Consider the following 25,735-nt stretch of genomic DNA (forward strand, 5'->3'; position numbering starts at 1 on the left):
TTCAGCCGGACTTTACCATAAATGCTGCTGCCCCCAATCTTCCCTAATAGGCCTGCCAAGGCACAGAGCTATTTTTACCTCCTTCCCTTCTCAGGCCTGCAGACCTCTGGGAGGAGCAGGAGCAGCCTCTGCTTTCCTCCAGCAGCCGGGTCCCCACCTGGAACATCTGCTCTGCAGCTCAGGGAAGTTCTGCTTTCCCAAGCCTCACCCCATTTGCTGGAATCTTTTCCTTACGTCTGAAGTCTTCCCCAGGTTGGGACCATTTCAGTTCTTAGTTATTCCCTCTGTGGGTTTGGGACTCCATTTGAGCTACTCTTACTACCTCAACTCTCTGTCACCCACTGGCCTTGGTTTAGTGCAGATTCATTTGAAGCCACCTGTGATTAGAACACATTCCCTCCCACCCCCTAAAATATAGACATATCCCTGCAGATTGCTGGAGAGGGCAGAACAGAGGGATGCCAGTGGCCTCTGCAGATAAGTCTTTCTCCCTCCATACCTTTCCCTCTTCTCTCAGAATCTCCATCTTTGGCATAGGGAAGTTTACCTCCAGGCCAAGACTTTTCCCAGGTTCTATGGTCTGGGATAGTTAGCGTGAGAAGGGTCACCCCTCGAGCTCTTCATGGTGGCTCTCGGCCACACCAGGCTCTGGAGGAAATATAGAGCTGGCTTGCTGTCCCAGACCCCTGTCTTGTTCCGCTCCTCTCAATGTCCCCAGTACTAAGCAGGTCTCTTAAAAAACGTCAAAAGCCCCCCTCTCATCCTGCGTCCTCCAAGCAGTTAGACTAAGTGGAAATAGCTCTGGGCAAACATTTTCTATCTAAATAGTGCTTAAGTAGGGGAAGTAAAGCTTTTAAAAGCCACGTATATGCCTCCTGGGAGGAGTCTGTCATCCGTGGGTAAGGGTGGGGAGGGGGACAAGTGCCACTTCTGCCTCTGTCCCACCACCTCAGATAGGTACCAGCTGACCCACCTTTCTGTCTCTACTCTTCCCAGATACTTGTCCTGATTTGCATCTATCTTAACTCCTCCTGGGGAAACCAAGCCAAGGACCCCCTCGCCTCACCCCAGATGGTCACTCAGAACCCGGCTCGACCAGGCCCCAGAGCAGTCAGCAGAGCCACAACTCCCGGAAAGGGGTCTTCTAACTTGGAGGGTGTGGGAAATCCAGCCTTCCCTTTCTTTCCATTCCCTTCAGCAGGGAGAGGAAGGGGAGAGGGGAGCATAGACTAACCCCCCTGCCCCACACGATCCCGCCTCCCTGGGGTTAGGAGCATCAGCAGGCCTTTGGGAGGCGGGGAGGAGCCAGGCTGGAACACTTGCCGCCCAGCCCAAAATCTCATCCCCGATGGCACTGCGGAAGCGGCGTGGAGAGGAGCAGCATAGAAACCCGAGACTCCCAGGTTTATTGGGGGTTATGATCCAAAAGCTACATTTTTATCCAAGTGTGAAGAATGGGGAGAGCTGCAAAGAAAGCAACAAGTGGCCCCGGGCGGAGCCGGGGGGTGGGGGCGCCAGCCTCCTCCCGCCGGCTGCGCTGCTGCGCCTGGCCCCCGCCCCCGCAGGCATGCGGGGTGATTCACCTCGCCCAGACTGCGCCCAGACCGCCGGACCCCGCAGGGGCTGTCCACCCACTCCACCAGCCCCTCTTGCACTCCTGACGCCCACTCTTCCCCGCCCAGCCCCGCCCGCTTCCAGGAGGCCCAGGGTGCCAGCGCGCCGCGGGTGAGGGTGTCCTCAAGGGCCTGAAAATGCCTGGTGGCCAGGAGCAGAGAGCAGCGAGGGGACAGGGGTGGGCCGCCGAGGCCGATGTGGGGGCGCGGGGGCGCAGGGTCTGGGGAGGAGGTTGGCGGTCGCGTTCCCCGCTTGGCACAGCCCCCGCTGGTGCGTGCCTGAGCCCTGAATCACCCGCTATATCAGGCCCGCAGGCGCAGAGGCCCCAGGCCCGGGCCCCGCAGCCAGTGTCCGCTTACAGCGGACCCCAACGATCGCGAGGGACCCCTGACTTTCCTAGAAACTTCCCCCAAGTAGGAAGAAGTTTGACAGAGCCAATTAGGGAGGGAGCGGTCTGCGAGGGGCAGCGTCCTCGAGTCCACCCGCTAATTCGGTTCTGCTACAAGTTTGGGACCCGAGGGAAGGATCTGAGTGGGGAGGTGCGAGGTGCAGAGCGCGCCCCTCTACGCGCCCCAGGAGTCCGCCGCTCCCTCCACCCCATCCTACCCCACCCAACCCCACCCCAGCCGCGCTCACCGGAAGGAGGGTGGATCTGCCGGGCGCCCGGGCCAGGCTGGGAGGGGAGCAGCGCCACGGGCAGGTCTCCCCACCCCAACTCCCAGGCAGGGGACGCGGGCCGGGCGCGGGAGCTCTGGGCGCCTTCCGCCCTGTGGGCTCACCTGGTAGATCATGACTTTAAAGTTGCGGCGCCGCAGCAGCTCGGCCTCGTTGACCTCCAGCTTCTTGATCTGCCCCGCCTGGCGCTCCAGGCTGCCGCGCACGGTCTTCACGTTGACGCTGACCTTGCGCACCTTCTCCAGCAGCTTGCTCACCGTATTGCTCGTGGTGGCGTGCGCCTTGCCCAGCTTGCTCAGCTCGCCCTGGATGCTCTGCACTGCGCCCTCCATCTCCGCCTGCCGCTCCTCCAGCTGTGCTTGAGTCAGCTGGATCTGGTCTACGGCCCCGATGATTTTGTCCAGGAGGCTCAGCACCAGCACGCCGTTCACCTGGTCCGACTTGATCAGCTCTTCTGAGCCGGCCCCCGACGGCTCCTCCGCTGCCTGAGCCCCAGCGGAGGAAGGCTCCGGGGCCTCGGCGTCGGGGTACCCGGGAAGCGGCCGCTCGACAATATAGAGCGTGGGGTCCTCCATGGCTACCCGGAGCCGTGCGGGACCGGCCGGGTGGGGCTGGAGCTGGAGCGGGAGACCCGGAGAGAAGCAGGAGCGGAAGGGAGGAGAGCTAGCGGGCGAGAGCGGAGAGCAGAGGAAACTCGAGCCACGTCCGTGCGCACCGGGACAGCGGCCAGAACTGCTGGGCGGGGGATCGGTGAGCTCCCCAGCTCCCGGGCCAAACTCCGGAGTCTGATCGCTGATTGGCTGGCCCCACCCCAGAAAGGGAGGGACCGGGGCAGAAGGGGAGATCGACGAGGCGGGGCGGCGGAGGGGGACCCAAGAGCCGAGCGCCCCACCCTTCCCGGGATGGTTGGAATAGTTGGAGCGGGAGACTAGGGCCTCCGCTGGCGGCGGGAGCGGGACGGGCGGAGGAATGCGAGCTGAGGAACGGAATCAGGTTCTAAGAGTGTTGCTCTCTGTTTCCCTCTCACTTGAATTGCTCATCCGAAAATCCTCAAGATCTGGGAGCCGGGTGGACCAGGAGATTCTGAAATTATAGGCAAAATCTTGTATTTGCCTTTACCTAGATTTTGAGCACAAAAGGACCCTTGCCCTTTACAATATTTTCTAAGAGGCCTCTCGGATTTCCTCATCACCAACCCCAACCAGGTTACTAACTCAGGGGTAAGCTTAGGGGGTTGTTTGTGGGGGGCGGGGGGAGAAAGAGAGAACGTATTTGGGGTCACGGTGGTGGTGAAGGGCTGCGAAGCTCCTCTAAGTTCTTTTTAGAATTGCCCTAACAGAGTAGAATTAAGATGGGCAATCAAACGGAAAATAAAGCCCACCTCCCAACCCCCCTTTCTGAGACAGGGTGTCACTCTGTCACCCAGGCTGGAGTGCAGCGGTCTGATCACAGTTCACTGCAGCCTCGACCTCTTGGGCTCAGGCAATCCTCCCACTTCAGCCTCCTGAGTAGATGAGACTATAGGCGCTTGCCACCACGCCCAGCTAATTTCAATTTTTATTTTTTTCAATTTTTATTTTTTTAAGAGACGGGGTGTACACTATTTTGACCAGGCTGGTCTCGAACTCCTGAGCTCAAGTGATCTGCTGGTTTCAGCCTCTCAAAGTGCTGGGAGCCACCGCGCCTGGTGTAAAGCCCTTTTTAAAAGCCCACCTCTCTTAGGCCAGGCGCGGTGGCTCATGCCTGTAATCCCAGCACTTTGGGAGGCCCAGGCGGGTGGATCACGAGGTCAGGAGTTCAAGACCAGCCTGGCCCAAGATGGTGAAACCCCGTCTCTGTTACAAATACAAAAATTAGGCCAGGCGCAGTGGCTCATTTTGGGAGGCGGAGGTGGGTGGATCACCTGAGGTCGGGAGTTCGACCTCAGCCTGACCAACATGGAGAAACCCCATCTCTACTAAAAATACAAAATTAGCCAGGCGTGGTGGCGCATGCCTGTAATCCCAGCTATTCGGGAGGCTGAGGCAGGAGAATCACTTGAACCCGGGGGGCAGAGGTTGCAATGAGCTGAGATTCGCGCCATTGCACTCCAGCCTGAGTGGAATTCTACAGAGTAGAATTCCTCTTTTTTCCAAAAGCTTTTTCAATCCTTAGTAGAAGGAATTTAAATTACTTTAATACATTTCTCCTAAATTCTAAAGTAAGTTGGTAATCTGCCAGTTGGTAATCCACTGTCTGAGTGCAGACAGAGTGAGACTCTGTCTCAAAAAAACAAAAAAAACAAAAACAAAAGCAACCCACAAACCCACGTCTCACCTCTCTCTAAAACTCACCTTTCCCTGTGTTCCCCCTCCCACCGCCCCCTCAGAGGCAGCTGACACCAATCTCAGTGAGCAGGATCTAGGAGTCCATTTCTCTTTCAAGATTCCAGGGACTAACAGTAAGCCATCGGAGAGACCATCAAATCCCACCCCCTCATTTGACAGACAGGAAAAGGAAAGCCTGCAGAAGACAGGTGGCTTGCCAGAGATCACTCGCAGGTTAGTGTTGGCATTGGCACTTGAACCCAGGTCTGGACTCCTGCTTTCATGCTCTTTCCACCTTCTGCTCTAAGCCTTCCACTGGGGCAGGGAGACAGGCACCCACAGCCACTCCCCAACTCCCATGTGCTGTTTCAGAAGATTAACCAAAGCATATTTTCATCCATGCTGGGTACAAGGGAGCAGGCAATTCTGAGCAGGCCCAAGGAGGGTCCTTAGTGCAGAAAGTCCAGAAATAGGGAGGCTGCCCATCCTCCCCCATTTTGCTGTCTAGCACAGCACTGGTGCTGTGAGTGTCTGAAGTGGCGCCAGCTCCCTTTCCCACAGAAAAGCGGCAACCCTTTTCCCTCCTTAGGAAACCACACTTGGGTTTCCCCAGCTGGCTGGATGATGGTCCTGGCAAAAGGTCACTTCTAGTCTGGTATCCATTATCATTAGGAAGAGTGAAAAACTGGTCTATGGGGACCCAGGGCCTCCTCAACCCAGACAGAGAACCCACAAACTCAGAAAGGAGACCGACAGTGCAGGGACTGGGTTAGTGCCCTAACAACATTGTAGGGTTTTTTAAGGGTTTACAACACCATATTTGTTATCCGAAATTCTCATAGAAAATGGAGCCATCAACTAGGGCTGTTTATCAGGTTATCCTGAAGTACTGTTTCTGCTAGAAAGGCAAGATACGTGGTTACTGGTAACCTCTTTTTTTCCTTTTTTTTTTTTTTTTTCTTGAGATGGAGTCTCACTCTTTTGCCAGGCTGGAGTGTAGTGGTGCAGTCTTGGCTCACTGCACCCTCCACTTCCTGGGTTCAAGCGATTCTTCTGCCTCAGCCTCCCGAGTACCTGGGACTACAGGCACGCACCACCACACCCAGATAATTTTTTTTTTGTATTTTTAGTAGACACGGGGTTTCGCCATGTTGGGCAGGATGGTCTCAATCTCTTGAGCTCGTGATCCACCCACCTTGGCCTCCCAAAGTGCTGGGATTACAGGTGTGAGCCACTGTGCCCCGCCTTTTTTTTTTTTTTTTTAAGACAGAGTCTCACTCTGTTGACCCTGCAGCCTCGAACTCCCGGGTTCAGGTGATCCTCCCACCTCAGCCTCCCAAATAGCTGTGACTATAAGCGCACACCATCACACCCAGCTAATTTTTGTATTTTTTGTAGAAATGGGGTTTCACCGTGTTGCCCACGCTGGTCTCAAACACCTAGGCTCAAGGGATCCACCTGCCTTGGCCTCCCAAAATGCTAGGAATACAGGCGTGAGCCACTTCGGCTTTGTGTTTTTTCCAACTTTTTTTTTTTTTTTGAGACAAGGTCTTGCTCTGTCATGCAGGCTGAGTGCAGTGGCACAATCACAGCTCACTGCAGTCTTGACCTCCTGGACTCAAGTGATCCTCCCACCTCACCCTCTCAAGTAGCTTGGACTACAGGTGTGCCACCACACCGGGTACCCTAACACTTCAATAACTGTTTTCTCACAAACAAATGGCTTTCTCATTTGAGGCTCAAGTAGAATTAAGCTAGTATATAAGATCATATATACACATATAACTGCTAGAACTGGCAGATTACCAACTTACTTTAGAATTTAGGAGAAATGTATTAAAGTAATTTAAATTCCTTCTACTAAGGATTGAAAAAGCTTTTGGAAAAAAGAGGAGTGACAGTAGAGAACCTTATAGGACCTTCATTTCTTAAGTGTCCCATAAGATCCTTAGATGATGATGATTATTATTATTATCATTTTTTTTTTTGAGATGGAGTCTCTCTCTGTCACCCAGGCTAGAGTGCAATGGCACAATCTCGGCTCACTGCAACCTCCACCTCCCGGGTTCAAGCGATTCTCCTGCCTCAGCCTCCCAAGTAGCTGGGATTACAGGTGTGTGCCCCCATGCCCAGCTAATTTTTTTTTTTTTTTGAGACGGAGTCTTGCTCTGTTGCCCAGGCTGGAGTGCAATGGCATGATCTCAGCTCACTGCACCTTCCGCCTCCTGGGTTCAAGCGATTCTCCTGCCTCAGCCTCCCAAGTAGCTGGGACTACAGGTGCCTGCCACCACGCCTGGCTAATGTTTTGTATTTTTAGTAGAGACGGGGTTTCACCATGTTAGCCAGCATGGTCTCGATCTTCTGACCTCATGATCCGCCTGCCTCGGCCTCCCAAAGTGCTGGGATTACAGGCGTGAGCCACTGTGCCTGGCCTCGCCCAGCTAATTTTTTGTACTTTTAGTAGAGACGGGGTTTCACCAGGTTGGTCAGCCTGGTCTCGAACTCCTGACATCAGGTGATCCACCCACCTCGGCCTCCCAAGGTGCTGGGATTACAGGCATGAGCCACAGCACCCGGCCTCTAAAAAATTTTATCTCTATCCCAGCAACTAGTTTCTTTTCCAGGAGACATCAATTATTACTATATTCTCTTTTTTTTTTTTAGGTGGAGTTTTGCTCTTGTTTCCCAGGCTAGAGTATAGTGGCACCATCTCGGCTCACTGCAACCTCTGCCTCCCGGGTTCAAGCAATTCTCATGCCTCAGCCTCCCAAGTAGCTGAGATTACAGGCATGTGCCACTACGCCTGGCTAATTTTTGTATTTTTAGTAGAGAAGGAGTTTTACCATGTTGGCGAGGCTGGTCTTGAACTCCTGACCTCAGATGATTCACCCACCTCGGCCTCCCAAAGTGCTGGGATTACAGGTGTGAGCCACCATGCCAAGCCTATTATTACTATTCTCTTGCGGAATCTTCTATAGACTATTTCTGCATATATGATCATACATATATATATTTCAGCACTTTCCTGTTTTCAGTTATTAATATGTTTTATGGATAGTTCCATATCAGTACATGTAGAACTGCCTTGTTTTCCAATGTATACGTCTACTATATTTGTTTAACCAGTTCCCTATCAATGGACATTTACAGATTACAATTTAAATCTCATGGGGGAGGAGTTGCTGAAGACAAGTGGGATTTTTTTGTTTTTGTTTTTTGCTTTTGAGGCAGGATCTCATTCTGTTGCCTAGGCTGGAGTGCAGTTGCTCAATCAGGGCTTACTGCAGCCTCGAACTGCTGGGCTCAAGCAATCCTCCCAACTCAGCCTCCAGAGTAGCTGGGACCACAGGTACACACCACCACACCTGGCTAATTTTTAAATTTCTTGTAGAGACAGAGTCCCAGCCATGGGGTTTTGCCACGTTGCCTAGGCTGGTCTTGAACTCCTGGGCTCAAGTGATCCTCCCGTCTTGGCCTCCTGAAGTGCTGGGATTACAGGAATGGGCCACTGTGCCCAGCCTCATCAGGAAAGTATTTCTATACCACTTCTTCAAACAGGAATGTCAGAATTTGTGGATGAGTCAAGTTATGTCCCAGGGGTAGTCCAGTGAATACATCTCTGACTCATTTAATGCCTCCTTAATGGATGATTTCTGTAAAAGGGCCCTACCCCTGCATGCCTATGTTGGAGAAAAATCTGCATCAACAAGTTTCTCTCACATTCCTTTTCTTACTAAATGCCAGCTAAGTCCAACAGGGGGCATGCTGAGGCATATTGTACTAGCTCCACCAGCACAGATGCCGCAAACTGGAGCAGAGCAGTCCTTTCCAGAGCATTTCACTCCATTCCAGTGAAAATAAGCAGTTTCTCTTCATTTGTAACTGCATTCAGCATGCCATTGCCTGCATTCAGGGTTGTTGGTTTGCATTTTCCATTGCTCACTCTATTTGCTTGCTGAAAGGCACACTGTTCCATTGTGTGCTTTCAGCCACTGAGACAGAATCCATAAAAGGGATAGTGAGGTAAAAGCAAACAACCCCTTTGGCCCAGAAAAAGGACACCAGGATGCAACATGTCAGCAGTTAGAATCTTACAGGGTGCTCTATCGTATTCTTCCATCCATCTACTTGTTCAATAAAACATGACTACTTCGCACTAGCCATTTACTGGGCTAGGGACTTTAATGAGGATAAATCAAGTCTAGTCCTTTTTTTTTTTTTTTTTTTTTTGAGACGGAGTCTCACTGTTGCCCAGGCTGGAGTACAGTGGCGCCATCTCAGCTCACTGCAACCTCTGCCTCCCAGATTCTCCTCCCTCAGCTTCCCAAGTACCTGGGATCACAGGCACCCACCACCACATCTGGCTAATTTTTATAGAGTTGGGGTTTCGCCATGTTGGCCATGGCTGGTCTTGAACTCCTGATCTCAGGTGACCCGCCTGCTTCGGCCTCCCAAAGTGCTGGGATTATTGGCGTGAGCCACTGCACCCGGCCTTTTTTTTTTTTTTGAGACGGAGTCTCGCTGTGTTGCCAGGCTGGACTGCAGTGGCGCGATCTTGGCTCACTGCAACCTCCGCCTCCCGGGTTCAAGTGATTCTCCTGCCTCAGCCTCCTGAGTAGCCGGGATTACAGGCACACAGCACCATGCCCAGCTAATTTTTGTATTTTGAGTAGAGATGGGTTTTACCATGTTGGCCAGGCTGGTCTCAAACACCTGATCTCAGGTGATCCACCCAAAGTGCTGGGATTACAGGCATGAGACACCACGCCTGGCCACCCCCAGCATTTTTTTTTTTTTTAAAGACAAAGTCACATTCTGTTGTCCAGGCTTGAGTGCAGTGGTGCGATCTCAGCTTGTTGCAGCCTCGACTTCCTGAGCTCAGGTGAGCCTCCTATCAGCCTCCCATGTAGTTGGGACTACAGCTGTATGCCACTACACCTGGCTAAATTTTTTTTTTTTTTTTTTTTTTGTAGAGATGGGGTTTTGCCATATTTCCCAGGCCACTCTTGAACTCCTGGGCTCAAGTGATCTGTTCACCTCGGCCTCCCAAAGTGCTGGCATTACAGGTGTGAAACTCTGCACCTGGCCAGATGCATAGTGTCTGACACAGCTGAAAGCTCCCCCCCAGCATAGGGAAAGCAGTCACTACTCTCAGGAAGAGTGGGGAAGGGTTCACAGGTGAGGGTAGGTACAAAGGAGGGGGAAAGGACCCCCTCCCAAACCCAGTATCTTGCGGTGTGAAAGGGCACTGGGGAATAGCCAAGCACTGCTCATCTCCTCTTATCATGGTTCTGCCATAAGTCTTATCAGTTTACATTTAGGGAGATCCAGCAAAGGGTGTAATATGTAATATGTTCTGTTCAGTTTTGGATCTGTGCTGGGAGAGATCCCAGGGAGACTGTGTGTTTTGTTAATAATAAACAGCTGGGACAAATGATGTGTCTTCACATTGGGACAACCGTCTCACATGGGAGGCTAGCCCTCAGCAGCTGGCTCACAGCTGCCACAAACAACAGTGATTTTTTTTTTGCCAGTTTTATAGGCACTATTCTTGTCTCTCTGATATACATATATGAAAAATGCCTATAATATTTGTATGTTTCTCTTTCTCAAAATCCCTTCCTTTCTTTGCCTTCAAATATTAATATATAGGGTAACTTCCCTGAACCAGAAAACAGTCAAAATTATTTATTAAGTGCTAATTTATGCATAGTTTGGTGCTAGAAACCATCCAAAGGACACAACCAGCACTTTTGCTGTGGAGTGGGAATTTTAGTTTCAGAGAAGCAGTGATTCAGGCTAACAAACAGAAAATACAAAAAAACAGGAGAAGGGGGCTGCAGAAAATAAAGCAAAATACATACAGTTTTACCAGCGTGGGCAAAGTGGTAAAACCCCGTCTCTACTAAAAATACAAAAATTAGCCAGGCATGGCAGCGTGTGCCTGTGGTCCCAGCAACTCGGGAGGCTGAGGTGGGAGGATTGCTTGAGCCCAGGGGGCAGAGGCTGCAGTGAGCCAAGATCGCACCACTGCACTCCAGCCTGGGTGACAGAGTGAGAACCTGTCTCAAAAAAAAAAGCAAAACTAAGAAACCCTAGATTCCACCAATTGTTTCTCCTTTTCTTTCTTTCTTTCTTCTTTTTTTATGTTGTTGCCCAGGCTGGTCTCAAACTCCTAAGCTCCTGCCTTTGCCTCCAAACTGTTGGGATTACAGGCATGAGCCACCACACCCAGCCTTTTCTAATTTTATTTGAACTCTGATTTAGCACTGCTGACCAATTTATCTTTGAGATTCTTCCCTCTTAGCCTTGGACACTGTACTATTTTTATTTACTTGTCCCATTTGCTAGCTTATTTTTTCTTCCTTTCATTTTCTTTTTTTAAATAGCTTTATTTATTTATTTATATTGAAACAGGGTCTTGTTCTGTTGCCCAGGCTGGAGTGCAGTGGCATGATCACAGCTTACTGCAGCCTCAACCTCCCAGGCTCAAGCAATCCTCCTACCTCAGCCTCCCAAGTAGCTGGGACTACAGGCATGCACCACCACACCTGACTTACTTTTGTATTTTTGTAGAGACAAGGTCTCACTATGTTCTCCAGGCTGGTCTTGAACTCCTGAGCTCAAGCGATCCGCCTGCCTCAGCCTTCCAAAGTGCTGGGGTTACAGGCATGAGCCACTGTACCCAGCTAATTTTCAAAAATTGTCGTAGAGATGGGATCTCGCTGTTTCCCAGGCTGGTTTCAAACTCCTAGGCTCGGCTTCCCAAAGTGTTGGGATTACAAGCATAAACTGGTACATTTGGACAAAAAAAAAAAAAAAGCTTTTAATACTGCTTTAAAAGGTTAAACAATATAACTTTATTGAGGTAGAATTCACATACCACACAATTCACCTAAAGCATACAATTGAATAGATTTTACCATATTCACAATGTTGTGCAAGAATCAACTTTCATCAGCCCCCAGAAAGCCCCCGACAAAGAAAAAACACTAAAGGGAGACTTTATCCTAAAGAATGTTTGCAAGGAGGGGAAAAAGACTGTTGCAATACGGGGAGGGAGTCTATTGCAATAGGGAGAAGGATCGGCCCATAGTTCTGCAAATGTCTTAAGGGCCAGACCTTTTTCCTTTTATAGAGAGGAGTAAACAAAGCTAGAAAGAACCAGGTGTAGAGAATAGGAGGAAAGTGGCCTGATGAGAGAATAGATCAGAGAATGTTTTACCCTGAGGTCAGGCTATCCTCAGGAGGGGTTGTGTGCTGGCTCAGGCCCAGTGAGGGTGGGCCAGAGTTCAGGGCCTGGAGGAAGAAGAAAAGCTTAAACAAAATGTGTTATTTTTTTTTTTTGAAACGGAGTTTCGCTCTTGTTGTCCAGGTTGGAGTGCACTGGCGCTATCTTGGCTCATAGCAACCTCCGCCTCCCAGGTTTAAGAGATTCTCCTGCCTCAGCCTCCCGAGTAGCTGGGATTACAGGCATGCGCCACCATGCCCGGCTAATTTTTTGTATTTTTAGTAGAGACAGGGTTTCTCCATGTTGGTCAGCCTGGTCTCGAAGTCCCAACTTCAGATTACAGGCTTAAGCCACCGAGCCCAGCCTTTTATTTATTTATTTATTTTTGAGACGGAGTCTCACTCTGTCACCCAGGCTGGAGTACAATGGCGTGATCTCGGCTCACTGCAACCTCCGCCTCCCGGGTTCAAGTGATTCTCCCACCTCAGCCTCCTGAGTAACTGGGATTACAGACACACGCCATCATGCCCGGCTAATTTTTGTATTTTTGTAGAAACGGGTTTCACTATGTTGGCCAGGCTGGCCTTGAACTCCTGACCTCAGGTGATCTGCCCACCTTGGCCTCCCAAAGTGCTGAGATTACAGGTGTGAGCCACCACGCTGAACCAACAAAATTTGTTTAATGAGCATTTTGTTCATCGTGATCAGTGTTGGGAAAACCAGTTTAGCTGGTCATTCATGAGGCAGAGAATAAGAATTTGAAGTTCTGTGTCTGTTCCTGTCACAGGTAAACAATGGGGGGCATCTGCGAGTCACATGGGGAAGGGTGGTTCTTGGCAGTAAACAAAAACATAGGGGATTCCTTTAACCTTGGATGTTTTCCAAGAGCACAGGGCTCAGGTGAAATTCACCACTGTTACCTCATACCCATTAGCTGTCACTCCCCACTCCTCTCTTCCCTGTCCCCTAGCAACCAGTAAGTTTTAAGTCTCTATAGATTTTCCTGTTCTGAACACTTCATATGAATGGAATCATACAATTTGTAGCCTTTTGTGTCTCGCTTCTTTTACTTAGCATGTTTTCAAGGTTGATCTATGTTGTAGCATGTATCAATACTTCATTCCTCTTTATGGCTATATTCCGTTGTATAAATATGCCCCATGCTGTTTATCCATTCATCAGCTGATGGACGTTTGAGTTGTTTCCATTTTTTTGTTTTTTTAAGAGACAGTCTCCCTGTTGCCCAAGCTGGTGTGCAATGGCACAATCATGGCTCACTGCAACCTCAAACTACTGGTCTCTAGCCATCCTCCTTCCTCAGCCTCCCAAGTAGCTTGGACTACTGGTCACAACAGGCTAATTTTTTTTTTAGACGGAGTCTTGCTCTGTCACCCAGGCTGGAATACAGTGGCACAATCTCGGCTCACTGCAACCTCTGCCCCCTGGGTTCAAGCAATTCTCCTGCTTAAGCCTCCCGAGTAGCTGGGATTACAGGTGCGCATGACCACGTCTGGCTAATTTTTGTATTTTTAGTAGAGACGGGGTTTCACCATGTTGGTCAGGCTGGTCTCGAACTCCTGACCTCATAATCCACCCACCTCAGCCTTCCAAAGTGCTGGGATTACAGGCGTGAGCCACCATGCCCCGCCTAAACCAAATATCTTTCCTCAAAAGCTAGAATGCTTCTTGGCTTATTTCTGTTGATGGTGGGACCGTCCTATCAAACACCAGAGACTCCAACCTTAGAATTATATTTATCTCCTCTCTTTCTCTCATCTACTAAAGCAAATGAAATCCCAGATCCTGCCTTCCTTCCTTCATTATCACTCCCCTGTAATTCCCATTTCTGTGACTGTCTGTCTGATCCTGTTGTTACCAGCTGATGGCTGTTACTGTACTTTCCTAGTTTGTCTCTGTGTCTCCAACCTTTTCCTTCCAATTCATAATGCATTTTAGAATGAAAATTGATTTGAAAAACTGTAAATGATAGTTTGGAAGGTGCTGGGACTAGAAAAAAGGAGATCTAACAGGAGACTACTGCAATAGTCCCAGCAGGGGAAGATGATCATTTGAACTAGAGCATTACGGGGCACAGAGAGAGGACTGATGGGTGAGCACTATAGCATGAAAACCATTAGGGCTTGATGAATGAGTACATGTAGATACTGAAGGAGAAGGAGGAGTCTAAAATATTACAATTTTGGCTGGGTGCAGTGGCTCACGCCTGTAATTCCAGCACTTTGGGAGGCCAAGGCAGGCGGATCATTTGAGGTCAGGAGTTCAAGATCACCCTGGCCAACATGGTGAAACCCTGTCTCTACCAAAAAATACAAAAACTAGCCGGGTGTGGTGGCGCATGCCTGTAGTCCCAGCTACTTGGGAGGCTGAGGCAGGAGAATCACTTGAACCCGGGAGGTAGAGGTTGCAGTGAGCTGAGATCACGCCACTGTATCCCAGCCTGGGTGACAGAGCAAGACTCTGTCTCAAACAAACAAACAAATTGGCAAATAAAGAGAATCAATGAAGCATTAATCCTACCTTTTCTGGCCGGATGAAGTGGCTCATGCCTGTAATCCTAACACTTTGGGAGGCCGAGGCAAGAGGATCACTTGAGGTCAGGAGTTTAAGACCAGCCTGGCCAACATGGTGAAGCCTTGTGTCTACTAAAAATACCAAAATTAGCCGGGCGTGCTTGTGCACACCTGTAATCCCAGCTATTCGGGAGACTGAGGCAGGAGAATCACTTGGGCCCAGGAGGCAGAGGTTGCAGTGATCACTCCATTGCACTCTAGCCTGGTGGACAAGAGTGAAACTCTGTTCCAAAAAAAAAAAAAAATCTTACCTTTTCTGTTTGGATTGTACCTCTGTGTAACCAAATAGCGGCTGGGTGAAGGAAAGCACTTATTTATAAAATAATTTCAGCTCATAAATAAAGAAGGAATGATGGATTAAAATGTCACTATTTTGTAGCCTCTAGTGAAAAAATGAGCTAATGATCATTAATGCCCGCTAAAACTATTAGGCAGAAAATTGTGGGGAACTCTATTATATCAAAGTAACAACTCAACCCACTCACTAATCTTTGTATTTATTTATTTATTTTTTTGAGGCGGGAGAATGGCTTGAGCCTGGGAGGTGGAGGCTGCAATGAGCTGGGCTTGTGCCACTGCACTCCAGCCTGAGCGACAGAGTGAGACCCTATCTCAAAAAAAAAAAAAATTTAAGTATGATAGCAGCATTGTGGTTATGTTTTTAAAAAATTCGTACATTTTTGAGATATATACTGAAGTATTTACAGATGATATGATATCACATCTAAGATTTGATTCACAATAATTCTGGCGGAAGTAGATGGGATATAAATGAAACAAGCTGGACTATTTGTTGATTATGGTTGAAGCTGGGTGATATGTACATAGGGATTCATTATCCCGTCTCTGCCTTCTGTATCCTTAGGTTCCACACCCATGGATTCAACCAACTGTGGATAGAAATTATTAGGAAAAAAATTCCACAAAATTCCAAAAAGCAAAATATGAATTTGCCAAGTACTGTGTTGAATCCACAAAAATGAAGTGATGTGTGGGCATCGTATTAGGCCTAAGTAAGCTAGAGATGATTTAAAGTATATGAGAGGATGTGCATTAGGTTATATGCCAATACTACACCATTGTATTGTATTGTATTGTATTGTATTGTATTGTATTGTATTGTATTGTATTGTATTGTATTGTATTGTATTGTATGGTATTGTATTGTATTGTATTATTTTTTGAGACAGGGTCTTGCTCTGTCTCCCAGGCTGGAGTGCAGTGGCACGATCTCGGCTCACTGCAACCTCTGACACCTGGGTTCAAGTGATTCTCCTGCCACAGCCTCCCGAGTAGCTAGGTTTACAGGCACCCACCACCACGCCTGGCTTATTTTTGTATTTTTATTAGAGACAGGGTTTCACCATGTTGGCCAGGCTGGTCTCCAACTCCTTACCTCAAGTGATCTGCCCGCCTCAGCCTCCCAAAGTGCTGGGATTACAGACGTGAGCCACCAAGCCCCGCCTGAAGTTTCCCATAATAAAAAATACTAAGGTTGTTTTAAGGATGAAATGTGTTCACATCTGTAAAGGGACATATCAAAATGTTTGATACACAATGTGTGGCAAATAATGTGCATGACCCTTTTCCCTTTCTCTCACTTGAACCAATTCAGAACTGGTGTTCAAAGAGACTGTTTCTGTTAAACCCATTTTGTTGCACAAGAGAAGAGCCCCTTCCTTTCAACTTTCCAGCTGGAACCAAGACCAGACCTTTCAAACAAGCCACTTTCAGTAAACGCAGTAAGTGTTTAGCAGCTGTGCATATTAAAGCAAAACCATTTCATTTGTGGAATCGGGCCCTTTTCCCAGGAAACGGTGTTTCCATTTCACAACCTAACAGAACAGGAAGAGTGTAAACTCTTGTTCAGTTACAGATTCCTTGTGCTTCACTTAGATTTCCACATTTCTATTGTGCTCTGAGTGTGAGAGTCCAGCTGTGCGTTGGTGGAGTGACTCATTTTTCCATGGAGACGTGTATTCCTATGAATCCCAGGGGCCTCTGATTGGTATGAAAGAGCAATCAGCACAGATGTAGTCCACAGATCCATCATATGACTTAAGAGAGATGATTTAAACGGTTTTTCCATGGGCTTAAATTGAAAGCGTCAACTGAGCTAGTCAGATTATTCATATGCTCCAAACCCTTTAGTGTTTACAAGTGGCTAAGAGTGGCTACTTGAGACCACAAAGGAATATTAATACAAGAGAAACAAAAGCATAATCTGTATTCTTTGGGTGTTTAAAAATCTCAATGAGGGCCGCGCGCGGTAGGTCATGCCTGTAATCCCAGCACTTTGGGAGGCCGAGGCAGGCAGATCATTTGAGGTCAGGAGTTTGAGACCAGCCTGGGCAACATGGCGAAATCCCGTCTTTACTAAAAATACAAAAATCAGCTGGGCATGGTGGAGCGCGCCTGTAATCCCAGCTACTCGGGAGGCCAAGGCAGGAAAAGGTTGCTTGAACCTGGGAGGCAGAGGTTGCAGTAAGCCAAGATCATGCCACTGCACTCCAGCCTGAGTGACAGTGAGACTCCGTCTCAAAAAAAGGCCAGGCGTGGTGACTCACGCCTGTAATCCCAGCACTCTGGGAGGCCGAGGCAGGTGGATTGCTTGAGGTCAGGAGTTCGAGACCAGCCTGGCCAACATGGTGAAACCCTGTCTCTACTAAAAACACAAAAATTAGCCAGGTGTGGTGGTACATGCCTGTAATCCCAGCTACTTGGGAGGCTGAGGCAGGACAATCGCTTGAACCTGTGAGACGGAGGTTGCAGTGGCCAAGATCGCATCACTGCACTCCAGCCTGGGCGACAGAGTGAGACTCTGTCTGAAAAAAAAAAAAAAAAATCTCATTGAGGAAATAAATGTTAAGAAGTAGAAGAAGAATTCCCAAATAAGCAAATTATATACAATACAAATGGATATAAAATATATCAATCAATGTTTAGCAGCTCCAGGATAAGAGTAATCAAAATTGAAGTGGCTATCTGGAAAAAAAATTCACTTTTATTTTTATTTATTTATTTTATTTTTTGAGACGGAGTTTTGCTCTTTTGCCCAGGCTGGAGTGAAGTGGCACAATCTTAGCTTAATGCAACCTCCACCTCCTGGGTTCAAGCAATTCTCCTGCCTCAGCCTCCCAAGTAGCTGGGATTATAGGCTCCTGCCACCATGCCCAGCTACTTTTTGTATTTTTAGTAGGGATAGGGTTTTGTCATGTTGGCTAGGCTGGTCTTGAACTACTGACCTCAGGTGATCTGCCCACCTCGGCCTCCCAAAGTGCTAGGATTACAGGCATGAGCCACTGTGCCCGGCCAAAAAATTCACTTTTAAAACGTTTAAATTATTTTAAATTTACAGTGTTTTTTTTTTTTTTTTTTTTTGAGATGATGTCTTGCTCTGTCGCCCAGGCTGGAGTGCAGTGATCTTGGCTCACTGCAACCTCCACCTCCCGGGTTCAAGCAATTCTCCTGCCCCAGCCTCCTGAGTAGCTGGGATTACAGGTGCATGCTGCCACATCTGGCTAATTTTTTTGTATTTTAGTAGAGATGGGGTTTCACCATGTTGCCCAGGCTGGTCGTGAACTCCTGAGCTCAGGCAATCTGCCCGCCTCGGCCTCCCAAAGTGCTGGGATTACAGGCGTGAGCCACCGCTCCCGGCCCAGAATTGTTTTTTAAAGTACAAAAGTATTATTTCTTCATGAACTATTTGCAAGTAAGTTGACAACCTGACAAGTTTTATCACCCCCAAATACTTTAGTGTGTATTTTCTCCAAACACACATACATAACCACATAGACAACATACATTTTGTAACCATAATACAATAATCAGTATCAGGAAATTAATCCTCAGCAGCTGATAAAATTTCACCATTTATCCCAATAATGTCTTTTATGCATAAACGATCCAATTAGACGTAATGCTTAGCAGTTACTGCATCGTTTTAGTATCCTTCAGTCAGGGAAATATTCTTTCTTTGGCTTTCATAACCTTGACACTTTTGATGATCATAGGACAATTAATCTGCAAAATGTTGCTCAGTTTGGACTTGTCTGATGTTTCCTCATGATTAGATTTAGGAAATGTATTATCTTTAGCAGGAATAGCATGAAAGGGATGCTGTGCTCTCATTGCATCCTGTCAGGTGGTACACAATTTTGATTTCCCCATTACTAGTGATGTTAGCCTTGATCATTAGGTTAAGGTGGTATCTGCCAGACTTTTCCAGTGTCAGGTTATCTTTTTTTTTTTGAGATGGAGTCTCCCTTTGTTGCACAGGCTAAAGTGTAGAGGCACGATCTCGGCTCACTGCAACCTCCACATCCTAGTTTCAAGTGATTCTCCCACCTCAGTCTCCCAAGTATCTGGGATTATAGGCAAGCGCCACCACCCCTGGCCAAATATATATATATGTATATGGAGAGATAGAGAGAGAGAGAGAGAGATGAGGTTTTGCTATGTTGCTTAGGCTGGTCTAGAACCTCTGGGCTCAGGCCGGGTGCTGTGGCTCAAGCCTTTAATCCCAGCATTTTGGGAGGCTGAGGTGGGCAGATCACTTAAGGCCAGGAGAGACCAGCCTGGGCAACACTGGCGAAACCCCGTCTCTACTAAAAATACAAAAACTAGCCAAGTGTGGCAGTGCACACCTGCAGTCCCAGCTACTCAGGAGGCTGAGGCAACAGAATCACTTGAGCCTGGGAGGCAAAGGTTGTAGTAAGCCTAGATGGCGCCACTGCACTCCAGCCTGGGCAACAGAGGAGACTCCATGACAAAAATAAATAAATTAATTAAATTAAATTAAAACAATAAATAAAACCCCTGGGCCCAAGTGATCCTCCTGCCTCGGCCTCCCAAAGTGCTGGGATTACAGACGTGAACCACCTCACCTGGCCCTATTTATTTATTTATTTATTTGAGATGGAGTCTTGCTCTGTCCCCCAGGCTGGGCTGGAGTGCAGTGGCACAATCTCGGCTGACTGCAACCTCTGCCTCCCGGGTTCAAGCAATTCTCCTGCCTCAGCCTCCTGAGTAGCTGGGATTACAGGTGCACACCACCATGCCCAGTTAATTTTTGTATTTTTAGTAGGGACGGGGTTTCACCATGTTGGCCAGGCTGGTCTCAAACTCCTGACCTCAAGTGATCTGCCCTCCTTGGCCTCCCAAAGTGCTGGGATTACAGCCACTGTGCCCAGCCCTTATTTATTTTTTTGAGACAAAGTCTCACTCTGTCGCCCAGGCTGGAATGCTGTGCCATGAACATGGCTCACTGCAGCCTCAACCTCCTGGGCTCAGCAATCCTCCCACCTCAGCCTCCCAATTAGCTAGGACTACAAGTACATGCCACCTTACCTGACTAATTTTTTGTGTTGTTTTTTTTTTTGTAAAGACAGGATTTTTTTTTTATTTTTTTATTTTTTGTAGAGACAGGATCTCCCAGGCTGGTCTCAAATTCCTGGGTTCAAGCAATCCTCCGGCCTTGGCCTCCCCAGCTGTTGGGATTACAAGTGTCAGCCACTATGCCCGGACTATTTAAAAAAAATTTTTTTGGAGAGTTTTCTGGTAAAAACTGGAAAACCTGCTAGACGGATTCTAAAAGAGCTGTAATACTTGATTTCTTTGACATTTTAATTTTTAGTCTGAAATTTTCATTTCCAAATTTTCAATTTCTATGCACAAAATTCTTTTTTTTTCTTTTTTTTACAGTTTTTCCTCCTCTGCTGAGGTTTCTTTTTTTTCCTTTTTTTTTCTTTTTGAGATGGAGTCCCACTCTGTCGCCCAGGCTAGAGTGCAATGGCGTGATCTCGGCTCACTACAACCTCCACCTCCCCGGTTAAAGCAATTCTCCTGCCTCAGCCTCCCGAGTAGGTAGGATTACAGGCACCCGCCATCATGCCCGGCTAATTTTTGTATTTTTGTAGAGATGGAGTTTCACCATGTTTGCCAGGCTGGTCTTGAACTCCTGACCTCAGGTGATCTGCCCAAGTTGGCCTCCCAAAGTTCTGGGATTACAGGCAGGAGCCACTGCGCCCGAGTGGAAAGTTCTAAAATTAATTGTGGCTATGGTTGCACAATTCTGTGAGTATTAAAAATTGTTGACTTGTACGCTTTAAATGGGTGAGTCGTATGGTATATGAATTATATCTCAATAAAGCTATTACAACAAAAGATTCAGCAGTTTTCAAAATAGAACATATATATACTTTTTTTTCCTTTTCTTTTTTTTTCTTTTGCAGAAACAGGAACTATGTGTCCCAGGCTGGTCTCAAAATCTTGAGCTCAAGTGATCTTCCTGACCCAGCCTCCCAAATCGCTGGGATTACAGGTGTGAGCCACCATGCCTGGCCTGAAAATAGAATATTTGGAAATAAAATGATAAATTCAATAAATGAAATCCCCAAGATTGGAGGAGACCCTAAACTGAATGAAAACAGAAATTAACTCATGTTACAAATGAACAACAAAACTGTACTGAAGGAGAAGTGGTATGGGAATAGCAATTATGACATTATATTGTGCATATTATAGAATTAAGCAAATGACATATAAAAGAATGTGGAAGCTAGAGTTCTCACTGTAGGAAAAAAGTAGATTTAAATATGAATTAGGGAATACAAAGGAACCTTAGATGGGTGGAACTGGTGTTAGAGGCATCAGTATAAACCCATAACTTCATATACATTTGTAGAGATAGAGCTAGAGGTTTGGCCTCTGTGTGTTGAAGGCTTAGAAGCAATAACACAATGTAACAATGAGCAGGCTTGGTACCAAGATCTTGGTTTCTAAATATTATTCCTCACAACAAAGAAACAGCTTCTTAGAGAAATGGATGACTTCAGGGCTGGAACAAGGAAAGTATAAGCTAAGCTTAAAATATCCTATTGTGATAGAAATTAAGGAAGTCCCCTGCCACCCCCAACACCCCAGCAAAATGATGGGAATATGTCAAAAAACACAGGAGGAAGTTCCAATTATGGCTGAGTAATTCCCATCACACCAAGTCTTCTGTAAATAAGAATGATATACTCAGAGCAAAATATTAAAGAACAAACAAAAACTACCTGAAGGCATTAGCAAACAACAGGAGGAATATACTGCACAGAGGTGGATACCTGGAAGAGAAGAGGACTGAATGGGTTTCCTGTGTTTTTACAGCTTTTAGTCTAAGGGAAGTCCAAAGTCTGCAAAGTGAGTGGTTAAAACAAAGCTGGGGGTAGTGGTGTGCGCCTGTAGTCTCACCTACTCAGAAGGCTGACGTGTGAGGAAACCGTGAGCACAGGAGTTCAAGGCTGTAGAGCACTAAGATTGTGCCTGTGAATACCCACTGTATTCCAACCTAGGCAACACAGTAAGACCTCATCTCTTTTTTTTTTTTTTTTTTTTGAGACAGAGTTTCACTCTGTTGCTCAGGCTGGAGTACAGTGGCGTGATCTCAGCTCACAGCAACCTCTGCCTTCCGGGTTCAAGTGATTCTCCTGCCTCGGTCTCTTGAGTAGCTGGGACTACAGCTATTTTTAGTAGAGACAGGGTTTCACCATGTTGCCCGGGCTGGTCTTGAACTCCTGACCTCAGGTGATCAGCCCATTTCAGCCTTCCAAAGTGCTGGGATTACAGGCATGAACCACTGTGCTCGAGATCTTATCTCTTAAAACGACGACAACAACAACAAAAACAAAACAACAAAAACCCAAACCCTGCAGTCTTACTAGCTTGAATTGTTCAGGGCAACCCCAGCAGGTGGAAATAATGGGAGGAAATCCTATCAAAATAAGAGCCACAGAGAGGGAGGCTCAAATTCTGTGCATAAACTATAGTCCCAGCTACTCGGGAGTCCCAGTACCTGTAGTCCCAGCTACTTGGGAGGTTGAGGTGGGAGGCTCGCTTAAGCCCAGAAAGTCAAGGCTGTAGTGAGCTGTGATGATGCCACTGCACACCAGCCTGGGTGACAGAGTGAGACCCTGTCTCAAAAAAAAAAAAAAAAAAAAAAATTCAGAACTTTAAAAAATCACCCTGAAAAGAAACCCCATGCCCTTTTATTATTTTTTTCACTTTTTTGACTTTATTATTTTTTCTTTAAAACAATATTTATTCTTTTTTGTTGAGACTGGGTGTCACTATGTTGCCCAGGCTAGTCTTGAACTCCTGGGCTCAAGCCATCTTCCTGCCTCAGCCTCCCAAAATGCTGAGATTACAGGTGTGAGCCACTGTGTCTGGCCAAGAAACCCCATGCCCTTTAGCCATCACGTTCCATTCTCCCCATCACCCCAGCCCTAGGCATTAATAATCCACTTTTTGCCTCTATAGATTTGTCTACTCTAGACATATCATATAAATGCAGTCACATATGTGGTCTTTTTTGACTGACTTCTTTCACTTACTATGTTTTCAAGGTTTTTGTTGTAACATGTGTCATTACTTCATCCCTTTTTATTGCTGAATAACATCTCATTGTATGGCTATACTACACTTTCTTTATCCATTCATCCATTGTTGAACATCTGGGTTGTTTCCAATTTTGGGCTATTGTGTATAATGCTGTTATGAACATTTGTGTACACGTTTTTCTGTGGACATTTGGTTTTTATTTCTCTTAGGTGTATACCTAGGAGTGGAATTGTTGGATTATATGGTAACTCTATGATAAGCCTTTTAAGAAATTGCCAGACTATTTTCCAAAGTAGTTGCCCCATTTTACATCTTCACCAGTAGTGAATGGGGGTTCCGATTTCTCCATATCTTCACCATGAATCTTTTTAAGAAAATAGATTATTGACCAGAGGTCAGGCATTCGAGGCCAGCCGGGCCAACATGGCGAAATCCCTCCTCTAATAAAAATACGAGTATTATTGGCTGGGCACGGTGGCTCATGCCTGTAATCCCAACACTTTGGGAGGCCGAGGCGGGTGGATCACGAGGACAGGAGATTGAGACCATCCTGGCTAACACGGTGAAACACTGTCTCTACTAAAAATGCGAAAAATTAGCCAGGTGTGGTGGCGGGCGCCTATAGTGCCAGCTACTTGGGAGGCTGAAGCAGGAGAATCGCCTGAACACAGGAGGCGGAGGTTGTAGTGAGCTAAGATCATGCCACTGCACTCCTGCATGGGTGACAGAGTGAGACTCTGTCTCAAAAACAAAACAAAACAAAAAACAAATATTAGCAGGCTGTGGTGATGCATGCCTATAATCTCAGCTACTCAGGAGGCTGAGGCAGGAGTATTGCTTGAACCCGGGGAGGCAGAGGTTGCAGTGAGCTGAGATCGTGCCATTGCACTCCAGCCTGGGCAACAGAGCAAGACTCTGTCTCAAAAACAAAACAAAACAAAACAGATTATTGATATATAATTCACATACCACACAATTCACTCAAAGAGTGCAATTCAATGGTTTTGGTATATCATGTTAATTTTTAAAATTGTGGTAAAATATAAAAGTTGCCATTTTAACCATTATATATATAAATATATGTGTGTGTGTGTGTGTGTGTGTGTGTGTGTGTGTATATATATATTTTTTTTTTTTTTTTGAGATGGAGTCTTGGTCTATTGCCAGGCTGGAGTGCAGTGGCATGATCTTGGCTCACTGCAACCTCTGCCTCCCGAGTTCAAGCAATTCTCCTGCCTCAGCCTCCCAAGTAGCTGGGACTATAGGCACACAACACCATGCTCAGCTAATTTTTGAATTTTTAAATTCTTACTCCTTCTAGGACTCTGACGACATAATTTTCTTTCTTTCTTTCCTTTTTTTTTTTTTTTTTTTTGAGGCAGAGTCTCACTCTGCTGCCATGTGAACTATGTTGGCCAGGATGACCTTCTTGATCTCTTGACCTCGTGATCCGCCCACCTTGACCTCCCAAAATGCTGGGATTACAGGCGTGAGCCACTGTGCCCGGCCATATATATATATATATATATATATATATTTTTTTTTTTTTTTTTGTAATATAGAGACGGAGCCTTGCTATGTTGCTCAGGCTACTCTTGAACTCCAGGCCTCAATGTATTCTCCCACCTCAGCCTCCTAAAGTTCTGGGATTGTAGAAATGAGCCACTGTGCCTGGTCCCCATTTTAACCTTTTTTTTTTTTTTGAGATGGAGTCTTGCTCTGTTGCACAGGCTGGAGTGCAGTGGTACGATCTCGGCTCACTGCAACCTCCACCTCTTGGGTTCAAGCAATTCTTCTGCCTCAGCCTCCCGAGTAGCTGGGATTACAGGCACTCGCCATCATACCCAGCTAATTTTTGTATTTTTAGTAGAGATGGGGTTTCACCATGTTGGACAGGTAGTGCTCGAACTCCTGATCTAAGGTGATCCACCTGCCTCAGCCTCCCAAAGTGCTGGGATTACAGGCATGACACCGCGCACAGCCTTAACCATTTTTTAATGTACAATTCAGTGGCATTAATTACACTGACAATGTGCATAACTATCACCACTATCTATTTCCAAAATAAAAGAGAAATTCTGTTCCCATTAAACAACAATTCTCCATTCCCTGCTTCTCCTAGCCCCTGGTAATCTGTAATCTACTTTCTGTCTCTATAAATTTGCCTAGTCTAGTCTAGTCTAGATATTTCACTTAAGTGGAATCATACAATATTTGTCCTTTTACAATCTGCCTTATTTCACTTAGCATGTTTTCAAGTTTCATCCATGTTGTAGCATGTGTCATACTTTCATTCCTTTTTATGAAATTTAATTTTAATATTAAAGAATATTTCAGTCCAGGTGTGGTGGCTCATGCCTATAATCCCAGCACTTTGGGAGGCTGAGGTGGTCAGATTGCTTTGAGCTTAGGAGTTTGAGACCAGCCTAGGCAACATGGCCGAACCCTGTCTCTACTAAAATACAAAAATTAGCCGGCCATGATGGCGGGCGTCTGTAATCTCAAGTACTCGGGAGGCTGAGGCAGGAGAATCGCTTGACCCCGGGAGGCAGAAGGCGGAGGTTGCAGTGAGCCGAGATTGTGCCACTGCACTCCAGCCTGGGCAGCAGAGCGAGACTCTGCCTCAAAAAAGAAAAGAAAAGAAAGAAAGAAAGGGGAGAGAGGGAGAGGGAGAGAGGGAGAGAGGGAGAGAGGGAGAGAGGGAGAGAGGGAGGGAGAGAGAGAGAAAGAGAGAGAGAAAGAGAGAGAGAGAGAGAAAATTATGTCGTCAGAGTCCTAGAAGGAGTAAGAATGTAAGACCGAAAACTTATTCAAAGAAATAATGGGCTGGGTGTGGTGATTCACGCCTGTAATCCCAGCACTTTGGGAGGCCGAGGCAGGAGGATCACGAGGTCAGGAGATCGAGACCATCCTGGCTAATACAGTGAAACCCCGTC

The 25,735-nt window shown here is 47.0% G+C and overlaps 1 protein-coding gene, 1 long non-coding RNA gene and 1 pseudogene across 8 annotated transcripts in view; 1 reads left to right on the forward strand and 2 right to left on the reverse strand.

Moving 5' to 3' along the window:
* CAVIN1 (caveolae associated protein 1) overlaps positions 1 to 3,023 on the reverse strand; it is a 20,808-nt gene extending 17,785 nt beyond the window's left edge. For both annotated transcript variants that reach the window (NM_012232.6, XM_005257242.5), the window contains exon 1: positions 2,394 to 3,023. In NM_012232.6, the coding sequence (NP_036364.2) occupies positions 2,394 to 2,864 (471 nt within the window). In that variant the 5' untranslated portion in view covers positions 2,865 to 3,023. The remainder of the gene's footprint in view (positions 1 to 2,393) is intronic.
* The window catches only part of LOC102725238 (uncharacterized), a 27,071-nt gene continuing 4,289 nt past the window's right edge, over positions 2,954 to 25,735 (forward strand). The window contains exons 1-5 of one of the 6 annotated variants that reach the window (XR_934763.2): positions 2,954 to 3,039; positions 3,345 to 3,509; positions 4,658 to 4,829; positions 16,033 to 16,159; positions 20,651 to 20,817. This is a non-coding gene — a long non-coding RNA (uncharacterized LOC102725238). Of the gene's footprint in view, positions 3,040 to 3,081; positions 3,510 to 4,657; positions 4,830 to 7,259; positions 7,302 to 16,032; positions 16,160 to 20,650; positions 20,818 to 25,735 lie in introns of those variants that run through there. The other 5 variants (XR_934762.3, XR_001752890.3, XR_007065758.1 and 2 more) reach the window with 5 other exon arrangements.
* Positions 19,965 to 20,026, reverse strand: RNU7-97P (RNA, U7 small nuclear 97 pseudogene; annotated as a pseudogene).

This window comes from Homo sapiens, chromosome 17 (genome assembly GCF_000001405.40).
Source record: "Homo sapiens chromosome 17, GRCh38.p14 Primary Assembly".
In the NCBI taxonomy this organism is placed as follows: domain Eukaryota; kingdom Metazoa; phylum Chordata; class Mammalia; order Primates; family Hominidae; genus Homo; species Homo sapiens.